At 41.8% G+C, this 24,702-nt stretch overlaps 2 protein-coding genes across 4 annotated transcripts in view, besides 5 other annotated features; both read left to right on the forward strand.

The window, feature by feature from the left end:
• The window catches only part of C8orf44-SGK3 (C8orf44-SGK3 readthrough), a 194,427-nt gene that overhangs the window by 106,355 nt on the left and 63,370 nt on the right, over nt 1-24,702 (forward strand). Inside the window, exons 4-5 of the mRNA NM_001204173.2 lie at nt 19,666-19,882; nt 24,592-24,675. Coding sequence (NP_001191102.1) covers nt 19,787-19,882; nt 24,592-24,675 — 180 coding nt within the window. The 5' untranslated portion in view covers nt 19,666-19,786. The remainder of the gene's footprint in view (nt 1-19,665; nt 19,883-24,591; nt 24,676-24,702) is intronic.
• Nucleotides 1-24,702, forward strand: part of SGK3 (serum/glucocorticoid regulated kinase family member 3) — a 149,242-nt gene that overhangs the window by 61,170 nt on the left and 63,370 nt on the right. For 2 of the 3 annotated variants that reach the window (NM_013257.5, NM_170709.3), the window contains exons 1-3: nt 1,255-1,369; nt 19,666-19,882; nt 24,592-24,675. In NM_013257.5, the coding sequence (NP_037389.4) occupies nt 19,787-19,882; nt 24,592-24,675 (180 nt within the window). In that variant the 5' untranslated portion in view covers nt 1,255-1,369; nt 19,666-19,786. Of the gene's footprint in view, nt 1-1,254; nt 1,370-19,665; nt 19,883-24,591; nt 24,676-24,702 lie in introns of those variants that run through there. The other variant, NM_001033578.3, reaches the window with a different exon arrangement.
• Nucleotides 959-1,459: an enhancer, noted in NCBI's record as "H3K27ac hESC enhancer chr8:67687144-67687644 (GRCh37/hg19 assembly coordinates)". NCBI's record gives its function as "activates a minimal SCP1, AML or CMV promoter by ChIP-STARR-seq in primed H9 embryonic stem cells {active_cell/tissue: H9 hESC(primed)}" and the evidence as "EXISTENCE:reporter gene assay evidence [ECO:0000049][PMID:30033119]".
• Nucleotides 959-1,625: a biological region, named in NCBI's record as "H3K27ac hESC enhancer GRCh37_chr8:67687144-67687644".
• Nucleotides 1,126-1,175: a silencer, noted in NCBI's record as "silent region_19256". NCBI's record gives its function as "represses an Ori minimal core promoter by ATAC-STARR-seq in GM12878 lymphoblastoid cells {active_cell/tissue: GM12878}" and the evidence as "EXISTENCE:reporter gene assay evidence [ECO:0000049][PMID:35858748]".
• Nucleotides 1,196-1,625: a silencer, noted in NCBI's record as "silent region_19257". NCBI's record gives its function as "represses an Ori minimal core promoter by ATAC-STARR-seq in GM12878 lymphoblastoid cells {active_cell/tissue: GM12878}" and the evidence as "EXISTENCE:reporter gene assay evidence [ECO:0000049][PMID:35858748]".
• Nucleotides 3,988-4,489: an enhancer, noted in NCBI's record as "H3K4me1 hESC enhancer chr8:67690173-67690674 (GRCh37/hg19 assembly coordinates)". NCBI's record gives its function as "activates a minimal SCP1, AML or CMV promoter by ChIP-STARR-seq in naive H9 embryonic stem cells {active_cell/tissue: H9 hESC(naive)}" and the evidence as "EXISTENCE:reporter gene assay evidence [ECO:0000049][PMID:30033119]".

Raw genomic sequence — 24,702 nt, forward strand, 5'->3', positions numbered from 1 at the left:
GGAAAGTTGTAAGGGAGAGGTTGAATGAGTGATGCCGGAGATCCCTGAAGCTTTTTCTAAAAATTCCCAATTTCTCTGAGTGGCTCCTGACTAGACAATACTTCCCTGCATCCTTTCCCCTCTCCTATGAGTTGAGCCTGGCAGGACAAACTTTAGAGTATGAGAGGGCATTTAGAGCCCATGAGGTCACCAGGCTAAATCCCCTCGTTTTACTGATAAGCAAATTGAGGACTTCAGATATTGTGACTTCCCTTAAGGCTACAGAGCTAGGCTGGCCTCTTGGCATTATTTTCTGAAATTTTTGTAATAAAGGTTACCGTATGTCAATCCTGCTTGCTGGCAAAGTGAGCCCTTTGTTTCCCTGCCATATTCATTAGTTACATTATTTTTATTTTAGAAACAGGGTCTTGCTATGAGGTCCAGGCTGGCCTGGAACTCCTGGGCTCAAGTGATCTTCCTGACTCAGCCCATGGAGTAGCTGGGACTGTAGGAACTGCGCCCTACTCGGTTATTGGCTTGATGCTTCCAGCCGTTTTTCACTGTCCAGACTCAGATGCATTAATAGTTAAAACAAGTCGTTTCGAGGATTCTGGTTTTCCTTTATCTGTACACGCAGACGCAAACCTTAGAGTAGCACACTACGGACATTCATGCCAAACCCGGCCGCGTCTGCTCTCTCGTGATGCGCCTGAGCTGTTTGAAGGGAACGAGATTGATTAACAATTTAAGCTCGGGGTGAGGATTCTTACTGGGAGCCGACTCCCCAATTTTTGAAGTAAAGGATGTGTGGTGGAGACTAGTAAAGGAATTGCTTCGTTTCTTTGCTCCTCTGAATCCCATTCCTAATGACGTCTCACGCCTGGAGCCCTGAATTCGTGTGTGACTCCTACCCCGCCCGAGGAAAATGAGATTATGCCAGTGTCTTGAATGAGCGCGGTTGTTTTGAGATCTACACTTTAGCGGGAACCTGGGGAGAGTGCCTTCTCATTCCTTGCCCCCGCCCAAGGCTCTCTTCACCTTCCCCGCGGGGGTCCTCTCGTTTTCTGTCTCCCAAATGCTGGCTTCCCGCCTTTCCTCCCCCGCTTATTTACTTAATTAAGGCCCTGGGGCTGCACCCCACCGGCAGCTCCTTCGGGGGTGTGGCCGAAGAGCTCCGAGGGCGGGGCTGACCGAGCCATATTCGGGCGTGGCCGGTGGTGATTGGTGAGGGCGGGGCCTGCCGCAGGGGGCGGGGCCTGCAGGTTTGGCCCCCGCAGGGAGCGCAGCTGGCGCCGCTGGGAGCTGGTGGCGCGGCGCAGGTCCCGGCCGAGTGTGGCGCAGCAGTGGCGGCGCTTCCCATTCGCCATGCGCCGGGGGTGGGTGCCCGAAGGTAAGCGTGTGGCTCATCGAGCTTGCGCGAGGAACCCTTGGCGGAGAACAGCCCCGGCACTGCGCGGGCCAGGTGGAGGGACCCCGGGGGCGCGGGAGGCAGGTGTGGTGTGACGGGCCCCGGTGCCATTTCCGCGCCCATCACGAGCGCGGGGCGGGGCGCGCGGGCGGCCCCTCCTGTGAACCCCTGAGAGGAGAGGCGGGCTCCACACCCGGGCGTGCTGCGACTTCGCGGCACTCATTCACTGCACTTGGTCCGAGACAGAAAACGTTTGAGTTGTTCCACACACACCCCCTCTAAATGTCGAGAAGCCCCAGGTACTGTCAAGTTTGTATATCCTTTAAAATATAGTTTGTGGTTCAGGACAGGAGGAGAAACCCGATAGTGAGCTTGCGGTGGGGCTTTACTTTTACTTTGTGTTATTCAGTTTGTAAGAAAGGTGTAGTAGAAACGGGACTGTTACTTAAACATGGACAGCAGGGGTTACGTAGGGAGTGTATCTTGGAGATGAAGCACGCAGACTTCGGAGCTAAAATCATGGTTTTGAATCTACTTATTAACTGCGAAAACTTGGGCAATTTGCCTAACTTTTCTATGCCTTAGTTTTAGCGTATGTAAAATGGGGATAATGATAGTTCTAACCATACAGCAGTTTTTGAAGATTAAATGAGTTAATACCTGGCTCATAGTCCACAATAAACTTTGGCTGTTTTCTTTGTTATGCATTCAGATGGGCATTAATCTCAAGAATTGTCATCACCGGAAAACCTACGTATATTCTTTCCTCAGAGCTGTTGCTAGAAATGCTTGGGGATTCCTTTGGAACAGTTTTCTTAGACCGAGTTCCACAAGAAAAGGTCTCTTACTTTTCTTTCACTAGGGGTGTTACCTGATGTGATCATCCACCTTGTTCCAAATCCCATCCACAGAAACTTCAGTCTCGAAGGCTGTTCCAAAACAGGGATCAAAAAAGAGGCAGCGCCTTTAAGGTGAATGTAGCCTCATTTTAAGCACCAAGTTCAGGCGGGTTTGTTTAAAAGCAGTTTATATCGCTTTATACAGAACTTTTAAGTTGTGCTATTTTGGGTGGATGCTTATTTGTACTATTATTGCAAAACTAAGTAAACCAGAGCACCCCCAATACATAAATAAACATCATAGGAACCATAGCTTGCTGCAGGGAATCTCAGAATTGAAAGGAATCTGAAAAATCAGACCAGCTGGTCTTTACAGATAAGGATGAGGCCAAAGACTCAGAATCAATAAATGGCAGAGCTTAGGCTAGAATTCAGCTCTGCTGATCAACAAAGTATAAAATCAAATGATGATGTTATTTCTAGTTTTGATGATAGTTACTATCTTTATCTTTGACAGTTTTATGGTTCTGTGAATGGCTTTCCTTTCCAGCACTATCCTGCTTGGTAGCTTAATTGCATGATTCATAATCATTCTTCAGTAGTACCTTTGATTTAAATCACAAGTCTCAAAGTTGCTACATTAATTATTGCTTTGAGAACAAGATGATTGTCTTCTTAAGCTTTGTACAAACATGTTCTAATGTGCTTTGGTTTTGTCCTTTTAAAATGCAGCCCTCTTCTCCCAGGTAGGGAATGTAAACAGCCAGTATAAACAAATTGACCTACTAGGCAGTTTTTTTATCGCTGTTTTATTGGCGAAGTTTTCTTGATTGGGTAGGAGTCAGGAAGTGGAACCCTGAATGCTCACCCAAGGAAGTAGGACTGGGTCCCAAAGAGATAATGTCACAATGTGGCTGCTAAGTTCAAAAGCATTGTGGAGTGAAATTATTTTGAGCTACTGTTTTGTTAGTTGCTGACTCTTCCCCAACTTTTTGTATAGCTCACTCCTTCACCTCTGGGTGTTTGTTTAGATGTTACCTTCCTATTTAAAATTGCATACAACACCACACTTATATATTGACCTATTGATTGACTTATTCATTATCTGTTGTCTGACATGAGAGCGTAAGTTCCATGTGGGTAAAGTTGTTTGCCAGTTGTGTTCACTGTTGTATCCTAAGTGCTTGGAAATAGTGCCTGGCACACAGGAGGTACCGAATTCATGGATCTGATGCAGACATTTCCAACAAGACTAGTAATTATTTACGCCAATTCACTGTCATTTTGCCCTATTTTCCCCTCCCTCCATTTTATTTATTCCTAGTTACCCAGGAATAAAATCTTGAGGCAATGTTAATTCTTTCTTCTACCTTTGTACCCCACATGCAAATAGCTACCACGTTATTTCATCTGTCATTTTTGTTGCAAACCTGCCTCTCCTGTTGTTGCCAAGCCCATTTCTTCATTCCCTTCATTTTAATTTGACACTTACAGCCCTGCAGTTCCCTTTTCAAGTGACTTCACATCCTTACCTGCAGAATGAAATCCAGAGTGAAAAGCCTGACATTCAGAATTCCCTACAACATGATTTAAAGCCCACTTTTACAGTCTGTATCTCCTATAGATGAAGAGATGAGTTCCAGTTTAGGTTTGTAAATATGACAGTAGAATTAAGGCTTTAATGGTGATGTCCTATAAAATCCCAAAATGAGTGTTGCTTCATGACAGTTTCTCTTTCTGTTTTTATTGATGAGTTAATCTTTTTCTCCGATGTGGGCAGGGATTTAGACATAGTGGACTAGTGGCTGTTGCCTGTTTCTAGTGAGGACTTCTGCTGCCCTTTCTGTTTTGAGTTCCCATTCTGCAAACCCCCCCTCACATGCGGCCCCTGCCGTTCCCTACCAAATATCTAGGTAAGTTCAGTTGGAAGTGGTTTTTTCTTTCTCTGAATGCTGGTGACTATCATAGAGAATTTAGCACAGTCTACTTTGAATTTGAAAGCTTCGGGCATTGGTCTTTTCTTCAGTGCTTCATGTCCTGGAGAACAAGAAGCATGCACACACACATTTCAGTTTCTTTTAAAGGAAAAATAAGACCCACATCTGCTTATCTGCTTCTTTTTCTTTTTTTCTTTTGTTATGGAGTCTCGCTTTGTTGCCCAGGCTGGAGTGAAGTGGTGGCGCGATCTCGGCACTTGGCAAGCTCCGCCTCCCGGGTTCACGCCATTCTCCTGCCTCAGAATCCGGAGTAGCTGGGACTACAGGCGCCCGCCACCACGCTCGGCTAATTTTTTGTATTTTTAGTAGAGACGGGGTTTCACCGTGTTAGCCAGGATGGTCTCGATCTCCTGACCTCATGATCGCCCGCCTCGGCCTCCCCAAGTGCCAGGATTACAGGCGTGAGCCACCGTGCCCAGCCACTTAACTGTTTTTTAAACAAACATGAACTTAAAATTATATCAAACAGACCTTTAAATCGTTAAATATTGAGCTTCAACAATTATTTCTACAGTATAGACAAATGAAGAAGATGACAAGGAAAAAGTCAGTACCAAGTAAAAAGATACAAATGAAGACACTGAGGTCTGGATTTATAGAGGGGAGTGGGTGTAGGGAGAGCAGCATGTCCAATACGCATGTAGATGGATAGGCAGATGTTTTTAAAAGTACGCAGTAAATTCAGGAAACCATCAGGAGAAGACAACTTTATTGAGCAATATCTGCAGCTTAGGATTTTGTGGAGTATTATTCCTAAAATATATTTTGTTTTTGTATTTCTAGACACATGGAATACTGTTTCTTTGCTTTGTTTCTATACTGGATAGGACTGAAGATTCTCTTTCTCTCTGGTCTGCAGAAAGTAATTTACTTTCTTTCCTTTCATTGTTTAATCTTAAAAAAAACTTCATACCTTTTTCCTGATTGTCCTGGATGTGTGGAGAAAGGTATATATGCCAGAAGTTTTTAGTCCTTCAGAAAAAGGTGGTAGATATGAGATACTTGAATTTACTATTGTTGAAGTTTATAGTTTTACTAAGTTTGATATCAGCATTTAACACATTTTGCTGAATTTTATATTACAAGCATATCCTTTCACATATTCCAGTTGAGTCAATGATTTTATTTTACTTGTGACTCAGATTAAAACTTGACTCGAGCTTGTGTAAATGTTTCTGTCACTTAATTTTATCTTTTCTCCTGTGGCCTTCCAAACCTCAACTGAAGTTTTTCCATTCTAGGGCATACATTAACTTATTTTTGTTGTTTTTGATTTTAGGTGCTTATAGATGTAGGTCTAAATTTATTTTACCGTTCCTAGAATGAAGCAGCAGTTTCTATTGTTAGGTAGGGGGGAGATATATATATATGTATATGTATGTGTGTGAATATATATATATATATATATATATATATATATATATATATAAAACACATTTTTTATATATATACGTTTTATACATATACACATATATACATTTTATACATATATATGTATAAAATTAGGGCATATATATATATACCCTAATTTTTGAAATGTTAAAATATTAAGGTAAAATTCTGCATGTTGTCTTTACTAATAACATAGCCACTGTAAGGTCAGGATTTGAAATTAAGTAGTATAATTTAAATAAGTATTATAATTTAAATATGTAATTGGTTGTAATTTTTGTGCTTTGGGAAATTTTTACTAATGTGATAATAGTTTTAGTGTCAGGAGAATTTTGAAAGCAAATATTTACTTGAGAGTAAAGTTTCCTTTATCACACTGCATAAGCATCTGTGTTTATCCTGAGTTCTCCTTGATTTTATAAAGCCTTAGTTAAGTGTGTTATCAGATAGAATCATTCATAAAAATAATAAAAAATGAGGGTACACATGCTGATATACTCCCAGCACATGGTAAACACTACATAAGTATCATTAAATAAGTAAATCTATATTTTTAGGGAGGATTTTATTAAGATACCATAGCATATTAGTACATATAGTACTTGGAGTGATCCAGTGAAGAGGCAGAAATTGATGATTCAGGAGACTGATGAAGGAATAATGAGGCATTGGTCACTGAACATCTCACTAGCACACTTTGGCAAGTTGGAATTTCTAAACGTCTCTCTCCACCTGTTGAATAAGTCAATGAAAGGTTTTATTAGGGCCTTCTAAGTGCATGGCAGTCAATAAGTCACAGTTCCCACACCCTAGTCAGGGAGGCTCTCAATAAGCAAGCAACTGAAATCCTAGTTGCAATCCATAAATGCTGAAATGGAAATAAACAACATGATGAGGGAGGATTAAGTTGGGGAGGGAGCACATTAAGGTGGCCATGAAGTTTGTTGGAAGAAGTGACTTTTGAACAAGGCCTTGGTGTTAAGAGCTGATGAGAGTGTCCCAGACAGAGGGGCCACTGGTACAATAGACGAGATGGGAGAGGGCTTGGAAGGTGTGCGAAATAGGAAGGAGTTTGTTCTGGTATGAGTCTAGTGAACACAGAGGCGAGAGGCCCTGGTGGGTGCAGCTGGAGAGTTATGCAGAATAACATTAGGCCCTGTGGGGGACTGTAGACTGTCAGCAATAATCCACAGTTTGGATTTTATTCTAAGAGTGATGGGAAGCCGTGGAAAGGGGGTTAAGCAAGGAGTGAAATTATCAGATTTACAGTGATAAAAATAAATTGGTCTGGCTACTGGGGAAAAAATGGATTGGAGGGAGTTTAGAATGGAAGCAGAGAGCAGGTTGGAGGTTCTCCCAAGAGACTCTATGAGACATGATGGTGATTTTTGTCTTTGTGGGTTTTGTTTTGTTTTGTTTTGTTGGGCCTGGACAATCTGAATTCTGCCAACCTCTTCAGTTCAGAACCAGCTTGACCGCAGGCCCCATCCATCTGCCAGTCACCACAGCCCTCTAGGAATTGGCCTTGGGCGTGTTGTATGTTCACATCTGCCTGTAAGATATGCTTGGAGTGTGCCTACAAATGGAAAAGCTTGGGAGTTTTGGAATACAGCAGGCATTCTGGTGGTTGGGAACCCAAGATAGTGACCTTGGGAGGCTGAGAAGGCTAGGACAGCCTTGCTGCCACTGCTACCATCTCTACCAGTCGGTTCTGGACCAAGTGGAGGGACATGACATGGTTGAAGTAAATTTAGGGCCTTCCTCCTTATCCTAGTAGTATTTTGTTTTTTTGTTTTTAAAGAGACGGGGTCTAGCTCTGTCACTCAGGATGGGAGTACATTGGTGCAATCATAGCTCACTGCAGCCTCAAACTCCTGGCCTCAAGCTGTCCTCCGGCCTCAGCCTCCCGAGTAGTTGAGATTAGAAGCATGAGCCACCATGCCTGGTTTATTTTAGCAGTTTTATCCCAGTGTGGAGAAAACAAAGGGCTGTCAGTGGTTACTTCCACTTCCTCACCGAGGCCCTTCTCTAAATGTCTGTAATAAAATGGAGCTGGCTCATGTGACTTTAGTTGAGGTTCTTGGACACTCTTCTCAAGTTGTTGGTGCACAACACTCTTCTTCAATATTGTTTTAGTGCCAACATTGGCTATTTTGCCTGTACTTTATTTTTAATTCATATATCACTTTTATCAAGAATCGGATAAGTAAAAGGTGCTTAAATAGAGATGTAGTAAACCTAGGAAAAACTGGGACAGCTTTGTGATTACAGAATGATGGAAAAATCAAAGATGGGGGTGGAGTGGGAATTAGAGGAAGGATGTATCAGTAAGGAAGGAAAACAGGAAAAAGTTGTAACTGATTCATCATGTGATGTGTGAGGGGAGGGGAGAAGGCTACTATGTATCTTTCATTGGCAGAGCCTGTTTTGTTTTAAAATCTGTTCTGCAGTGAATTTAATTTACAGATGTGACAAAGATGTCCTTTGTTTCTGTTGAAACATTTGGGATGTATTTGGAGCTAGTATCCTGAGAGGCAGAAATAAACAGATACAGATTATATATACTCTTACAGTAGACTTTCAGTAAAGTAACCAGTTTGGGGTTAGAATTTGCTGGGAAGGTGCTTTTAATGTAACTTAAAACGAAACCTATTCATAGGGTCTATTCTCTTCTCAGAAATTGTCCCCATCCCAATTCCTTTTCTTATTTACTAGGTCATTTCCCCTTGCCACATATGTATGCCCAGGGTATGTGTATGGCTTTTTTTTTTTAGACTTTTTTTTTTCATAGCTAAATTAGGAAAGTACAGAGTTCCCCATATATCTGTGCTGCCACACATGTCCAGCACTCCCCATTGTCAATATCCCCCACCAGAGTGGTACATATGTTACAATCGGTGAACCTATGTTAACACATCGTAGTAACCCAAAATCCATAGATTCCATTAGGGTTCACTCCTGGTGTTGTACATTCTGTGGGTTTGGACAAATGTATAATGACATGTGTCCATCATTATAGTGTCACAGAGTATTTTCACTGCCTTAAAAATCCTCTGCCTAGTCATCGTTTCACCCTGTGCCCCAGCCCCTGGCAGCTGCTGATCTTTTTACTGTTTTCCTAGTTTTGCCTTTTCTAGAATGTCATATAATTGGAATCTTGCAGTATGTAGCCTTTTCAGATTGGCTTCTTTCACATAGTGATATGCATTTAAGGTTTCTCCATGTCTTGTTATGGCTGGATAGCTTATTTCTTTTTAGCACTGAAAAGTATTTCATTGTCTGGATGTACTACAGTGTATTAATCTATTCACCTATAGTAGGGCATCTTGGTTGTTTCCAAGTTTTGGCAATTATGAATAAAGTTGCTAGAGACATCCATTTACAGGTTTTTGTGTGCACGTAGTTTTTAGCTTCTTTGGGTAAATACCAAGGAGTGCAACTTCTGGATTGTATAGTAAGAATATGTTTAGTTTTGTAAGAAACTGCCAAACTGCCAGAGTGGCTGTACCATTTTGCATTCCTACCAACAGAGAATGAGAGTTCCTGCTATTCCCTATCCTCACCAGCATTTGGTGTTGTCAGTGTTCTGGATTCTGACCATTTCTGAAAAGTATGTAATGGTATCTCATTTTAATTTGCATTTCCTGGTGACATGATGTGGAATATGCTTCTTTGCATTTGCCATCTGTATGTCTTCTTTGGTGAGGTGTCTGTTAAGGTATTTGGTTCATGTTTTAATCAGATTGTTTTCTTGTTGTTTAAAGAGTTTTTTGTGTATTTTAGATAACAGTCCTTTATTGGCTGTATCTTCTGCAAATGTTTTCTTCCAGTCTGTGGTTTGTCTTCTCATTCTCTTCATGTTCTTTCATGGATTATGCCTTTGGTGTAGCATTTGCAAAATCATTGCCATGCTTGTGGTCATCTAATTTTTGTGTGTGTGTGTGGTTTATTTTTATTTTTATTTTTGTTTTTTAAGATAGGGTGCTCTGGCACCCGGCCTGGAGTACAGTGATGCGATCTTGGCTCACTGCAACCTTCACCTCCTGGGCTCAAGCTATTCTCCCGCCTCAGCCTCCCGAGTAGCTGAGATTACAGGTGCATACCATCATGCTTTGCTAATTTTTTATTTCTTTATTTTTTTGGTAGAGATGAGGTCTCGCATATTGCCCAGGCTGGTCTTGAACTCTTGGACTCAAGCAGTCCTCCCATCTCAGACACCCCAAGTGAGGGGATTAAAGGCCGAAGCATAGTGCCTGGCCATTTTCTAGATTTTCTGGTACATTATATTCTAGGAATTTTATAGTTTTGTTTTTTGTTGTCGTTGTTTGTTTGTTTGTTTTTTGAGACACAGTCTTGCTCTGTTGCCCAGGCTGGAGTGCAGTGGTGCAATCTCAAGGCTAGCTGTAATCTCCACCTCTGCCTCTTGGGCTCAAGTGATCCTCTGGTCTCAGCCTCTCAAGTAGCCAGGACTACAGGTACGTGCCACCATGCCCGGCTAATTTTTAAACTTTTTTTTGTGGAGACAGGCTCTCACTATATTTCCCAGGCTGATACCGAACTCCTGGGCTCAAGGGATCCTTCCGCCTTAGCCTCTCAAAGTGCTGGGATTACAGGTGTCAACCATCACCCGGCCTACTTTTGCAATTTATGTGCATGGATTTTCTTTTGTATCTTCCTTGACCAGCCCTGTTAGTGCCCTCCTTTAGGTGCCATTGTTTCTGAACACCCAGTACCCTGTTCCCCTGCTGAGGAAAACTTGTAGCTCTTCACAAGCCAAATTCCTTCCTTTTGGGACACGTTTGTTTTTATTTCCCTTTATGCCTTGGTGTGAATCACCAACTCACCCTCCCTGCTGTATTGGGTAAGAATGGGAAGTGATACTTATGAGTGTATCTACCTTCTAATCTGAGTAGGGTCCTCTAGTCAATATCAAACAATCTTTATGATGGGTTAAGGAAGTAGGGTTCAGAAATTCTGTTTATTTTTTAGAGGTAAAAGCAGAAGAATCTTTTGACTTTTTTTATATAAAAAAATTTTTTTTGACTGCCCTGAAACAAAGACAGGCAATACCCAAGGACAGTAAGTAGCATATAATAGACAAAAAAAATGGATACAATGATGAAGGAAAAAATCCTTTTTAGGAAAAGCTTTAATGTTCATCTATTTTAAGCAATATTTGGATCAGTAACATTTTAACATAACAAGAATTTGGGCAATTTTTTATCATAGCGTTTCACCCATATTGCTATTTTTTTACAGACCCCAAACAAAAAAATTTTAAGTCTATGGATGCTTTTTTAAAAAAAGATGAACTTTCCCCCACCTTTTTAAAAAAACTGTATCCTTGATAGTGTCTTTTCTTGTGTCCTCCTTATTTCATAATTAGCCCTTGGTTGTCATCGTGATGGGGCCAACACTCAGAGCCTGCTGTGTACCAAGCTCTCAGTTAGATGTTTACATGTGATGTTTTTCAAGAAAGGGAAGCCAGGCTCCTGACCAAGTGCTGTCCAGACTTTGACCCTTCCTGGTGGCAGAATCAGAAATCTGCTTTTCCTGTGCGTGACTTTCTTTCTGTAACGCAGTTGCCTGGTGGATCCCTGGTGCTCTCTTCTCTTCAACTCTGTATCTGCAAAGATGATTTAGAAAAGGATGCATGTAACAACATAAGAAGTTGAGGGCTACGGTATGTGAGCTGGGCTCACATGAGAGTGCTTTCACCCACAGCCACGTGACCATGTGGAACTACTCTTCGTAGCTGAGGTTTCTTCTTCATCTGTAAAATGAGGATAATGATATTTACCTCAGAGGTTGCTATGAGGACTCATTGATGTGTTAGATGTGAGCGCTTAAAACAGCCCTGGCATTAGTGCTCAGTAAATATTTATTTCTCAACCTTCAGCCCTGTTGACGTTTTGGGTCAAATCATTTTTTGTTGTCGGGCAGTCCTGTGCATATTGTAGATGCTTAACATCATCCCTGACGACCACCGCCCGCCACTCCCCCACCCCACAAGTTGTGACAACCAAAAATGTCTCCCGACATTGCCAAATATCCTCTAGGCAAAATTGGCCCCCGATGAGAACCACTGTATAATCTTTACTAGCTGTTATATTACCCTTGCAGATTCACCGTTCCTCCTAAGATTTGGCTGGCCTTGAAAAGTGTTGCCGTCATCTGACCCATTTCTTTCTGTCTTGTTGGACTTGTCTGAGTTGATTCATGAGTTGAAGAGTAAGTCTAGTTCTTCCATTCTAACGAACTTAAGCCTCTTTGGAAGAGCTGTCACCTACCCCTGGCAAGCCAGCTGCCCCTGAGCACCAGACTACAAAATTATCTTCTGACTGTCTAGCAGAGTGAAGGCAGATCCTTTTCCTGTTCCTCTTTTGAAAAGCTCTACATATATATGAATCTCCCAAAAAGTCCCAGTTTTAATCCCCATGAATGACATAGCTTTTTGTTCTATTCTTTCTTAGTTGTGGGTTTTTATGTCAATCCCCTTCTTACTCTGTTTTATTTAGCTGCCTGGCCAGAAGATGATTTTGCAGAATTTTAATTGCTTCAGTTTTATAGAATAAATATGTACTACATGTATAGTAATAGCAGGGTTGCTTTTTCATTTTACTTTTAATCACTTAAAAAAATTTATGAACTTTCTTCCCAAATTGGTTGCCAGAGGACTCTGTAAAGCATGTACATGTGGTGGAGGCAGGGTAGTATAATGGATAGAAGCCCTGAAGTCAGACCACCTGGGTTCAAATCCTGCTTCTGCCATCTGGGGCAGGGTCCTTCATCCTTTCATGCTTCAGTTTCTCCTCAATTTCTTCTAGTTAGGGCTATTGTGAGGAGCAACCAGATTGGCACATGTAAAGCACAGTCTGGCTTATAATAAGCTTAGCCACTAAGTATTATTAGGTTGCCAGTTCAATTTAGCTTGAAGGAGAGGAAAATCTTACTTAAGGAGAGTTGATGTGGTACAGCAAACATGCACATAGAGATTTTGGAGTTGGACAAATTTGCGTTTGAATTCTAGCTCTATTGCCTGTTAGTTGCATATTAACTTGGGCAAGTGATTTAACCGCTTTATGTTTTTCTTCAGAGCAACATCTTTATTCCCAATATATAATTTTGGCTTCTCTTTCCAGATACAATTGAGGCAAGTGGGTGGAATCTCTTTCAAACATCTGCTTCCATACCTGCCTGGCTTTATTTTTAGCTAAGCTGTACAGTCTGCGGCTGTGTCCCTTCTCTGTACCCTCTCAGTATACCATGTGTACACATAACATCATACTTAACAAATTTTTATGTTGCTTGTCAGTCTTCCCTGTTAGGTAAGTTCTGTGAGGGTAGGATTTTCTCTGTCTTTTTTTTTTTTTTTTTTTTTTTTTTTTTTGAGATGGAGTGTCACTCTGTAACCCAGGCTGGAGTGCAGTAGCACCATCTTGGCTCACTGCAACCTTCACCTCTTGTGTCCCAGTTCAAGCAATTCTCCTCCCTCAGCCCTCCGAGTAGCTGGGATTACAGGCATGTGCCACCATGCCCAGCTAATTTTTGTATTTTTAGTAGAGACGGGGTTTCACCATGTTAGCCAGGCTGGTCTTGAACTCCTGACCTCATGACCTGCCCTCCTCAGCCTCCGAAAGTGCTGGGATTACAGGCGTGAACCACTGTGCCCAGCCTTCACTTTGTCTTTTTATTGCCTAGTGCATGATGAGCACTCAATAAGTGTTCATTGAATTAAGGAATAAAAATAAATTCAAAACAAATTGTTATACTTTAGATCTGATTTATTGGTTACTTTTACAGTGCTAGGTCTTTTACGCTATCTCAAATCCTTAAAGCAACCATATGAAGTCAGTCTTGCTTCTGTGAAGACAGATCCTTCCCTAAGGGCTGTCTAATCCCCCCTGTGGGATGGTGGGATAGTGGGCCTTAGTGTTGGTCTTTTCTGTTGGGGTTGGGCTGTCAGCACTGGCAACACTAAATCAGTCTTGGTGAGGGGAAGGCCAAATTGTTGAGTCTCTATATAGCCTCCACACCTACTGCTTTGGCCACTTTGTCATCGGTCCATTGAGCAAGCAATGGGACGATTGGGAAAGAGGCTGACTGACATCCGTAAGACAAGTCATCTTGACCACATGATTATTGAGAGCCTGTCTGTAGTGGGCATTTATGTGAGACACAAATATGTTCACATTCTGTGCTGTAGTGAAAGGTTCATATACATATTTCTGCACACCTCCCTTTAAAAAATATATAATTTTCCAATCTTGTTCTTTCCAAGTCACTGACCAGCAGGCCATCCATTAGCCACTGCCCAAGGATCATCATAGATACGTCCCTTTGGCACTCCTCCTTACAGGTAAACCACCACGTGTACTGCTCAGAGTTCTGCCCACTGGGAAGATTTCCCTTCACCCCTCTCTTTCAGGCCATCCCTGAGTGGGGCTGCCTTTTCTCACTTCTGGCCGGTGCCAGCACACTGTGCATGTCCATCCATAAACAAGCGTGCCTTTTTCCTGTCCTGCTAACTGGCCTTAGGATCCTCCCTATGAGGCCTTAAATGTGGGTCTAGAAAACTTACAAGAAGGAGGAACAAGCAGTAGGGGAGTCTGGGCTGTTAATCCCTGCAGTTTACTTGTGCCGTCCAGACCTGCTTAAGCCCAGTCTTGCTTTTACTGTACCAAGTGGATTACTGCTGTACATGTCCAGTTTTATGATTCAGTGAACCAGACAATACTCTGTTCACGATGGGCTGTTGTTTTTACATAGTCTCTTGGTTTTCCATAGGCGGTCATTGCATCTCTTCCTGGGCCTAGTAACAAGCCAGGAACCACAGACAGTGATTGCTGGCAAACCCTAAGGGTCTGAAACTCTTACCCTTTTCTTGGTGCTTGTTAGAGAGAGGGGTCCTTAATTCATTCCTGTTTGCCATGTCATTTCCAGTACTACTGGGTGTGCTGAGGCATAGGCTCAAGGGTTAGGGCAGCTTTCATTGCTCTAGAACCTTCTCTTGGAATGGGCTTCAGTAAAAACTGGCAGGCTCATAGGTTACCCAGTAAATGGGTCAGAACAGCATATCCAAGTATTGAAACTCACTATTTGTTTTACCTCTTTCTCAGTGGAAGTGGTGCAAGGTGTAGTTATTTCTCTCACTTGAGGTGGGATATCCTGGGTCAGACCAGGGAAATCCTAGAAGCCATCAGTGTAGTGAATCCCTGAACTTTCATGAGTTTTTTTCCATCCTCTGGCTTGTGTATGTGTCTTACACAGGTGTCCAAGGTGCTTGCTAGTTTTTGTTCACCAGGTCCAGTTAAGATAATGGTATCCATGTGATGGACCAGTGTGGTGATCTGTGGGCTGTCAAGATGATCAAGGACTCTCCAGACTATATTATGGCAATTCAGACATAGCCCTCAGGTGAGACAATGAAGGTATACTGCCTTTCTGCCACTTCATGCAATTTGCATCTCATTGTCCTTACTGATGGTGATAGAAAAGAAGGCATTTGCCAGGTCAGTAGTCATACCAGATGTCCGGGATTATGCTAATTTTATTCAGAAAAAAAAAAAAAACACTACATTTAGAATCTCAGAATCTCATTTGTAATTGGTATCACCATCTGATTAAATTTATGGTAATCCATAGTCATGTTCCAAGTTCTTTCCAGCTTTGATCTAGGTAAATGGCCAAGTTAAATGGGGATATAAAAAGTTTTAACACCCCTGCATCCTTTCTGTTTTTGATAGTGGTACTGATTTCTGAGCTTCTCCCATGGAAGTGGTATAGTTTTTGGTTACTTTCTTAGTAGGAAAAGGGGAGACAGTTCCAGAGTCTTCTTCATGGCCTTTTCTCCCATTATAGCTTTTATGACATGGGACAGGGAACCAATATGGGAATTTAGCCAGTTACTAAGTATATCTGTTTCCACTATAATTCTATTACTAGGGAAATAAGCACAGGATGGGCCTATGGTCCTATTGGACCCACTGTGAGATAGACTTATTCCCTGACATTACCTCTGGAAGTCCCACTTTGACTTGTAGACCATGTTTTGGGTCTCTAGGAGATTAGTGGTATTTCAGAGCTAGTATCCAGTAACGCTTGGGAGGATTATATATTCCTATTTCTGTAGTGGACAATCATCCTGGAAAATTGCTGCAGGTCCTTCTCAGGAAAGGCCTGGAGAAAGATCAACAGTATATGCCTGTGGCCGTTTAAAGGGTCACAATATGCTGGGTGTGGTGGCTTATGCCTACAATCCCAGCACTTTGGGAGACTGATATGGGCAGTTTGCTTGAGCTCAGAAGTTCGAGACCAGCCTGGTCATCATGACGAAACCCCATCTCTACCAAAAATAGAAAAATTAGCCAGGCATGGTAGCACATGCCTGTGGTCCCAGCTACTTGGGAGGCTGAGGTGAGAGGATTGCTTGAACCCTGGAGGTGGAGGTTACAGTGAGCCAAGATTGCGCCACTGCACTGCAGCCTAGGCAACAGAGTGAGACCCCATCTCAAAAAAAAGAAAAAAAATAGGTCACAATAATCTTATTAGTCTTCCTTGATCTAAGATCCTTTGAATATATTCCTATATGTGCTCTCCACACTCCCACTGGTAAATAAATTGTTGAGATCCTAAAATATTTTGTCATAAAGGCAGTTTTCTCCCAGAGTAGACTTGGAACTTCTTTCTGGGGTCTTTTGGGTTATGAGACAATGAAAGATGGTGGGAGTAGATAGTGAAGAGAATTAGCATCCCTTGTGAAACAACTTGAAAAGAGTTTTATTGAGGAGGAGGCGTTGGGATGCAGGGTCTTCTGAGAGATACAGGCAGCTGCTTTCAGCAAGGAAGTTCAGCTGAATTTGGGGTTCAGCATTCTTAGCCTCATCTATGCCTACCCAAGTACCTACATGTAGGATTCAAGTCATTGTCCTTTCCAGCCAGTGCCGTATGTTAACACATGAGACTTTGCAGGATTATATATTGAATTGGCTCTGCAACCCTAGACATCAAACCCTGGGCTTGATCTTTAGTCTTCTCAGCTTGGCAACTGTAAGAGATGAAGGGCTCGAATAAAACAGCCATGGATTTTCTACCCATCTCTTTGGGAATTCACAGCTTTAACTTTGTCATTTGCTTTGTGCACATTCTCAAGAACAGCCGGAAGCAGCCCCAGCCCACATTGCAGTCTCTGAAGTCAGTGTTTTTATCAGCTGCTTGGACTATGAGCACTCTCCACCTGCACTCCATCCTGTGACACCATGCACAGGTAGTTGAGCAATCATAATGTCACTGTGTGCCATCCCCACCCTCCACAGGAAGGTTTTCAGGACACTTGTCAAATACACATTCCATTTTTGAGGCTGTGTTTCCTGGGGTCATTCTTGGTACCAGTTAACTGCATCAGTTACATGACATGCTCAAAAGTAGTTGAAGGGAGTTTAACAAAGGGACTGTTAACTAAGATGTTGTGGGCAGGATTAGAGGAACCAGCATGGCATGTTGAAGCACCTCTTTACTAGCAAAGTCAGGAAGCTGTTATTATTCCCAGGCCCTTCAACTGTAGCTGTGGAAGAGGGGCTGCCTGCTAGGAACTGTGGGCTTAGGTAGATAAACCACTGATGTCAGAAAGGGACCAGGGGAACAAATACCTTAGCGCCTTGCTCCTCTTACCCTCTAATTTGTTAGTGACTCTCATGGCTGAACCCAGCCAGAGGACAAAAGCAAAGTGTGCTACTTTAGTGTGCAGTCCATAGAGCTCAGACTTCTGGACATGTGGCTGGGTGGAGAAAGAGTGGCGTTTGGGTCTGGAAGGGCAGATGGAGACTGTCAAGTGCAATTGCCAAACTGGAACCTTTGGCTCAGGTTTGAGTGTGCTTCTTGAGTGTAGACTTCTACACTTAACTCCCAGCTGTACCTGTTCTCTTAGATGTCCCCGGGGTACCTTACAGGAGACAAGTTGTCCTGCCTACCATCTCTTTCCTTCTCCTTTATTCCTGATGCCATTTAATGTGCTATCTTACTGTCCCTTCCAAAAGGAGGACCTGAGGAATTCTGCTTCTGTGGGCTATAGCACAGCAAGGCACAAACAGATAAAGTACCAGCAGGACCTGCCACCCTGAGCCCCACGTTCTCAAGGGAGAGGTGTGGAAAGTGTAGCTCATAACCTTCACCTTCTGAATGTCTCTGCTGTAGGAGGAGAAGCATGGGTTAATGTGGCTTCTGAGGTTCCAGGACAGGGCCAGTCTGCCTTAGAAGTACAATAGGTTCCACCTGCTCTCATGCTTAGACAGTAGATTGCTGTGACAGGTGGGCCAGGCTCTGGTCAGGTGCTTCCCTGGTCTTACTGGGGCAAAGCAGCTACTATTATGGGGCTTTAGAATGCTATAATTTACAGACAGATGTTGTACTCTTTGTTGAGGAGAGACCAATTACATGTCTGTATGTTCTAACAACTAATTCAGCTACGTAGAAATCTTTCTGACTGCTGGGCGCAGTGGTTCACGCCTGTAATCCCAGCACTTTGGAAGGCCGAGGCAGGTGGATCACCTAAGGTCAGGAGTTTGAGACCAGCCTGACCAACATGGAGAAACCCCATCTCTACTAAAAATACAAAATTAGTTGGGCGTGGTGGCACGTGCCCGTAATTCCAGCTACTTGGGAGGCTGAGGCAGGAGAATTGCTTGAACCCAAGAGGCGGAGGTTGTGGTGAGCTGAGATTGTGCCATTGCACTCCAGCCTGGGTGACAAGAGCAAAACTCCATCTCAAAAAAAAAAAAAAAAAAAGAAATCTTTTTGACTGCATTTCCAGCAGCAAATCCAACAAGGGAAGCTTTGAATCATCTCAAAGGAAGCATTCTTATAATCAGTTAAAACTCATTATACCTGAATATTCAATGCCTGCTGATATATATTTTAAATCATTACCTGAATATAATTTATTTATAGTGATCAGATCTGTTACAGTGACTTCCTGAAACTAAACATCCAGGGCAATTATCCAAGCAAACTGACACTTTAAAAAGTATTATTTAGTCTGGGTGCGGTGGCTCATGCCTGTAATCCTAGCACTTTGGGAGATCAAGTTGGGAGGAATGCTTGAGCCCAGGAGTTCAAGACCAGCCTGGGCAATGTAATGAGACCCTGTCTCTTAAGAAAAAAACAAAAAAAAAGTATTGTTTGAGCCAGGTGTGATGGTCTGTGCCTATAGTCGCAGCTACTTGGAAGGCTCAAGCAGGAACATTTTTTGGTGTGCTCTTGAGCCTAGGAGTTTGAGGCTGCAGTGCAGCATGATTGCACCTGTGAATAGCCACTGCATTCTAGCCTGGGCAACATAGCAACACCCTGTCTCTAAAAGAAAGGTATTATTTGGTGTCATGTGGTGTCAGAGTATGGGCTGCTGTGTGTAGCAAAGGTGACATCAGTGTGACATCTCTAGCCCTTTGTTCATGGGGTGGGATGATATTAACATACTACATTTATTTTGTAGGAAGATCTACTGTAGTGTCTCTGACCAGAGGTTCAGTACAAAAGAATCATCCACAGTTATAATGCAGCATAGTACAGTGGTTAAGAGTTGGAACTCTGGAGTCAGATGGCCTGGGTTCAAATCCGGGATGTACGAATTATTTCACCTCTCTGTGTTTCAGTTGCCTCATTTGTAAAATGAGTAAATAGTTATGTACTATACAGGATTGTAATCTGAATTGTTCAGCACACTTGACCAGTTCATCCTGATACAAGAAGTCTGAAAACCACACTTTGGTTACCTCCAACTAGATCTTTTCTAGGTGAGAGTTAGTCCCTAGCCTACGTGAACTGAGGTGTGTAAGTTCCTAGAATTTCCTAATAGTAAGAAAGGTAGATGGGCTGCAGATATTTGTGGCTTGTAGTAGGAACATAACAAACTAAATCTCTAACCTGGGCTGAGACTGATGAGCAAAAGTAGGTTCCTATCAGAATAAACGAAAATTAGTCCCATGCTTAAAGAATGACAGTCATAGTATTTTAAAGTTGTTTTGCTAATCACTTTTTTTTTTTTCTGTTGGTTAAGGTTGCATGATGGAATTTGAACATTACTTCAAGAGGTTTTGTATTTTGGATTAGTTAATTGGGTTTGTCCTCTGCTGACTGTTTCTTCGGATGCATTTTTTGGTGTGCTCTTGAGGGATTAAATGCAAAGAGATCACACCATGGACTACAAGGAAAGCTGCCCAAGTGTAAGCATTCCCAGCTCCGATGAACACAGAGAGAAAAAGAAGAGGTTTACTGTAAGTATTTAACATAAAGCATGTGGGAAAAAAGTTGAATGTAGAGAATATTTTCATTTCTGCTTTTCTTCTCCAACCTAGAACACCCCCTTCCCCATCTCCACATACCTAGATTTTACTTCTTTCACATGATCTGTTCTCCACAAAGTCTTCTGTGGCTACCGTAATGGAATAAATTTTCCTTTTTTAGTGTCTCTTTACTTATCTTCTTGGAGAATTGTATGAAACTATCTAATTAATCTTCTTAACAGAAAATGTGCATGTGCATACACATGGATCTATGCACACACTTATAATTTTGTGTGCACTGTCAGGAATTAATGGACTCCTGAAGTCATCGATTCCATATTAAGAACTACTGTCCTGAAATGTTTATAGTATCTCTCAGTTTTAAAATATTTAATTCAGTATTTTATTTTTTTCACCTTAAAGGCTAAGCCATTTCTAATTTTATCGTTTATCACTGTAGTATCTACTATAGGGCTTTATAAAGAGTAAGCACAATGAATATTTGCTCAATCTGTGTATCAGTTTTTATTATTGGAGAATAGTCACTTTTCTAATTAGTGTGCTGAAACATACAATATTGTATTTAGTTTCAGTAGTCCTATTAGTATATACAGAGGTCTTGTGCCCTCCTCCCCCTGAAAAAAAAAAAGCCACTTATTGTGTCTATTACTGATCTGCTCTTCCTTGTAACTCCCCACCCCCCTCACCTACTGAGTAATATGAAGAAATTCATTTAGCCCAATTCTGTTTAATACTTAGTCTATCTAATAATTTAACCAGGTCTCAGGATAAAATGCTTAGCCTCTCTTACTTCTACTTTCTTTCTCTTACTTGAACACGCATCCTCCTCAGGTTGGCATCATGGTTTATGGGAGGAGAGGTGTCCCCTTTCACAGTATTGTTGAGTTGGTGAATGACCTCATGGTAGCCTGGTGAAGCCTCTTGAGTTCTTGTCGTCCCTCTAGATCTTTGCCATTTGAGCTATAAAGTGGCTGGTCTGGCAAATAGCCTGCTATGACTGACCTGGTAACCTGGGCATTTTGCTGGCATCCATTGCTGACACCTGCAGTTGATGAACTAACCTGTGATCTCTTTGTTGGCTTGACCAGGGTCTTGCGGCAACTCACCACTGACTCAGTACCTTGGCCCTTGATAGCTGTAGAGCCCCCTGAGGCTCTGACATGTCCTTCACCTGCTCCTGGCTCAGTGATCCACCCCAGCCTCTAAAAAGGGGGTTACCTGGTCACTGCCAGTTGAGTCCCATGACAGGTGACTTTCAATTCAGAATCCCTGTCACAGGGCAGTTGAGGAAATCTCTCTGCCTTCTTAACTAGGTGGGGCTGAGTGCCGGAAAATGATGGTTTTCTCTCAAGGTCCCAGACAAGAAGCAGGGAAAGCAGTCCCTCTGTCCTCTCTTCCTTAACAGACACACCTGCCACACTTGGTACCACATCCCAGAGCAGAGAAATTGCAATGTGCGTCTGACCATTGACCCCTTCTCAGCCTCTATATTGCAGGAATATCTTCAACAGTAGGCATTTGTTGCACATTTGTATAAGCAAATTTTTAGCAGTATCACATTGAAGGTAAACAAAGGTTGATATACCTTGAATAAAATGGTAGAGTGTGTGAAAGTTTTTCTTCCTTCCTTCCCTCTCCTTATTTTTGCCTTTGGGCCATTCTTTTCTCGAGGGGATACCTCCTGCCAAGTTTGATGGAAGTTCACACATAGCAAATGTCAGCAGCAGTTATCTCGTGTCCTTTGATTTTCCAGGCTGGAGGTTATTTCCATGTCTTCTGTGGGATGGTCGAGGAGACCTGTAGCATTTCTCTTACCCAGCTGTTCTTAGGCTGTGCACTGAGTTCTCAAAGGCCCTATCTAAATCACCTTATTCGTTTACTTCCTTCAAATTCTCAAATATTGCCTTATTAGAGAGGCATATTTTGACCACCCTATAAAAAATAGCACCTTCACACCCCACCCTACCCCTCTCACTCTCTATCCTGCTTTCCCTCCTGCCACATTTTATGTTTGTTTATATGTGCCTTCTTTGAGTAGAATGCAAGGTTCTTTGAAGCAAGAACTTCTTCACTATTGTTTCACCAGCCCTAGAACAAAGATAGTAGGAATTCAAATAAGTATTTGTTGAATTGTTCATCTGTTATTTGCTGGTCACTACAGTGCAGTCCTCAATCCTCAAGAAATTTGATTCTGTCAGTGCAGATAGACCCCATCCCACCCAACACAGATGCTGTGTTCAGCCTGGGTACTCATGTTATCGATAATATTTTTATTTATTTTATTTATTTTTTTGAGACAGAATCTCGCTCTGTCGCCAGGCTGGAGTGCAGTGGTGCAGTCTTGGCTCACTGCAACCTCCACCTCCTGGGTTCAGGCTATTGTCCTGCCTCAGCCTCCCAAGTAGCTGGGACTACAGATGCATGCCACCACGCCCAGCTAATTTTTTGTATTTTTTGTATTTTTTTTTTTTTTTTTTTTTTTTTTTTTTTAGAAGGGACTGGGTTTCACCATGTTGGCAAAGTCTATCTCTTGACCTCGTGATCCGCCCACCTCGGCCTCCCAAAGTGCTGGGATTATAGGCATGAGCCACCACACCCAGCCTGAATTTAAATTTAATAGAAACAGGGTCTTGGTATGTTGAGTAGGTTGGTCTCGAACTCCTGGGCTCAAGTGATTCTCCTGCCTCAGCCTCCCGAAGTGCTGGGATTACAGGAATGAGCCACCACACCCAGCCTTGATAATATTTTTATACTCTAGTTTTCATAGGTAGTTTATGTAGTTCTATACCATGAAGCTTCTAACAGGGAAATGTGTTGCATTCTAGGTGTCTTGACTTAAACCAAGTCTAAATTATATTTTTATTTATCCACTTGACAAATTGTGAGTTTCTATGTTATGTTCTAGGCACTGCAGATACAGTGGAACAAGAGTGACGTTAACCCTAGCTCTCAAGGAACTTTCATTATACAGGGACAAGACAGACAATAAGGAAATATGCAAATAAGATAATGTCATATTGTATTAAGTATTGTACTGTTTCCTGTGAAATCTAAGGATTTCACAGGAAATCTAATCTTGTTTTTTTTTTTTTTACCAATGGAAATATTTTTAAGGATTTGAATAGTTTTTTGTTTTTGTCTACTGTTTTATTAGTACATATTTAATAAGCACTTGTTTATAAATCATGCTGTTAATTCATAATTTTACAAGGCTTTATTTGTCTTCTGTAAATATATTTGCTGCAGAGCTTCTCCAGCTTGTAACGTAGACTTGCTCCTGGTCTTGGCTGTATTTGGGTAGCCAGGGGAGGCCACCTGAACTTTCTAAGATCCATTCTTCTCACCGAGTCAGCACAGATAATTCAAGAAACTCACAATCATATAAACCTAAGTGTTTTATTCTCTTACAGCAGTTCTGCTTCTAGGCTTGTCTGATCCCAGTGCCGTGTGAGATAATCTCTTGTCTAGTCTTATTCAGCGTCGCTGGCACCTTGGCTAGGTTTTTTGCCCTCTACTTCTGCATGCTGTCCATGTGGGAGGTATCAAATTAATTCTAACATCTTACACATAATAGCTTCCTCTGAGACAACCAGATTCCTTCTCGGTTAAGACCAAAAGGGCCAGATTACCATCCTGCAGCTCATGTAGGGTGTCTCATGTATAGTGGGGGGTTGTAATATTTGTTCTGCTTACTTCATAGGGTTGTTGATTATGATTATATGAGGTTATGTATATTTGAAAATATTGAACATGGAAGATAATACTAGGAAATCTGAGGATAAATTCTTATTAATAGTTTGAAAACTACTATGTGAAAGATGACCTAGAAGGAAGAGAACTAACAATTGAAGGTTTTTTATGTAGCAAGTATCACTTTTGAAAATACTTTGTAAGTTCCAGGTAGTAATTACTGCTAGGGAAGAAGAGAGGAAAGTGGCAACAGTTGAATCTATCGTATTTTATTCTTTGGCAAAAAAAATCTGAAGCAAGAATGGCAACATGTTAGAATTCAATAGATCCAAATAATGAGCACATGAGTGTTGACTATGTTATTCCCTGAAAATTACAGAAATATTTTGTAACATTTGAAAAATAAAATATCACCTATTTTTTTCTGACCTCATTTTCTTCCCATCACAAGAAACCACTTTTTTTTTTTTTCCAAGTCATGATCTCGCTTTGACACTCAGGCTGGAGTACAGTGGTGTGATCTCAGCTCACTACAGCGTCGACTTACCTGGGCTCAAGCAATCCTCTTACTTCAGCCTCCTGAGTAGCTGGGACTACAGGCGTGTACACCATGCCCAGCTAATTTTTAAATTTTTTGTAGAGACGGGGTCTCCCTATGTTGCCCAGGCTGGTCTCCAGCTCCTATGCTCAAGTAATCCTCCCACCTCAGCCCCAGAAAGTGCTGAGATTACAGGCATGACCCACTGAACCCAGCCAAGAATACCATTTGACAAGATTCAATAAGTGCTTTAATTGGTATGTTTATGTATCTTAGAGAATCATATAAAAATGTTAATATCAGTTTCGGAATATGAAAACATCAGCCTTGGTGAAAGAGCCAGACTGTCTCAAAAAAAAAAAAAAATTAAAACAGGTTTCATGTATTTAAGTAGCTAATGGGTTTTTTGCAATTAAATTGTGTTATATTATGTAATTTTTTATTTCCACAGGTTTATAAAGTTCTGGTTTCAGTGGGAAGAAGTGAATGGTTTGTCTTCAGGAGATATGCAGAGTTTGATAAACTTTATAACACTGTAAGTAATCGTCTACAAGATTTCTAA

This window comes from Homo sapiens, chromosome 8, assembly GCF_000001405.40.
Source record: "Homo sapiens chromosome 8, GRCh38.p14 Primary Assembly".
NCBI lineage: Eukaryota > Metazoa > Chordata > Mammalia > Primates > Hominidae > Homo > Homo sapiens.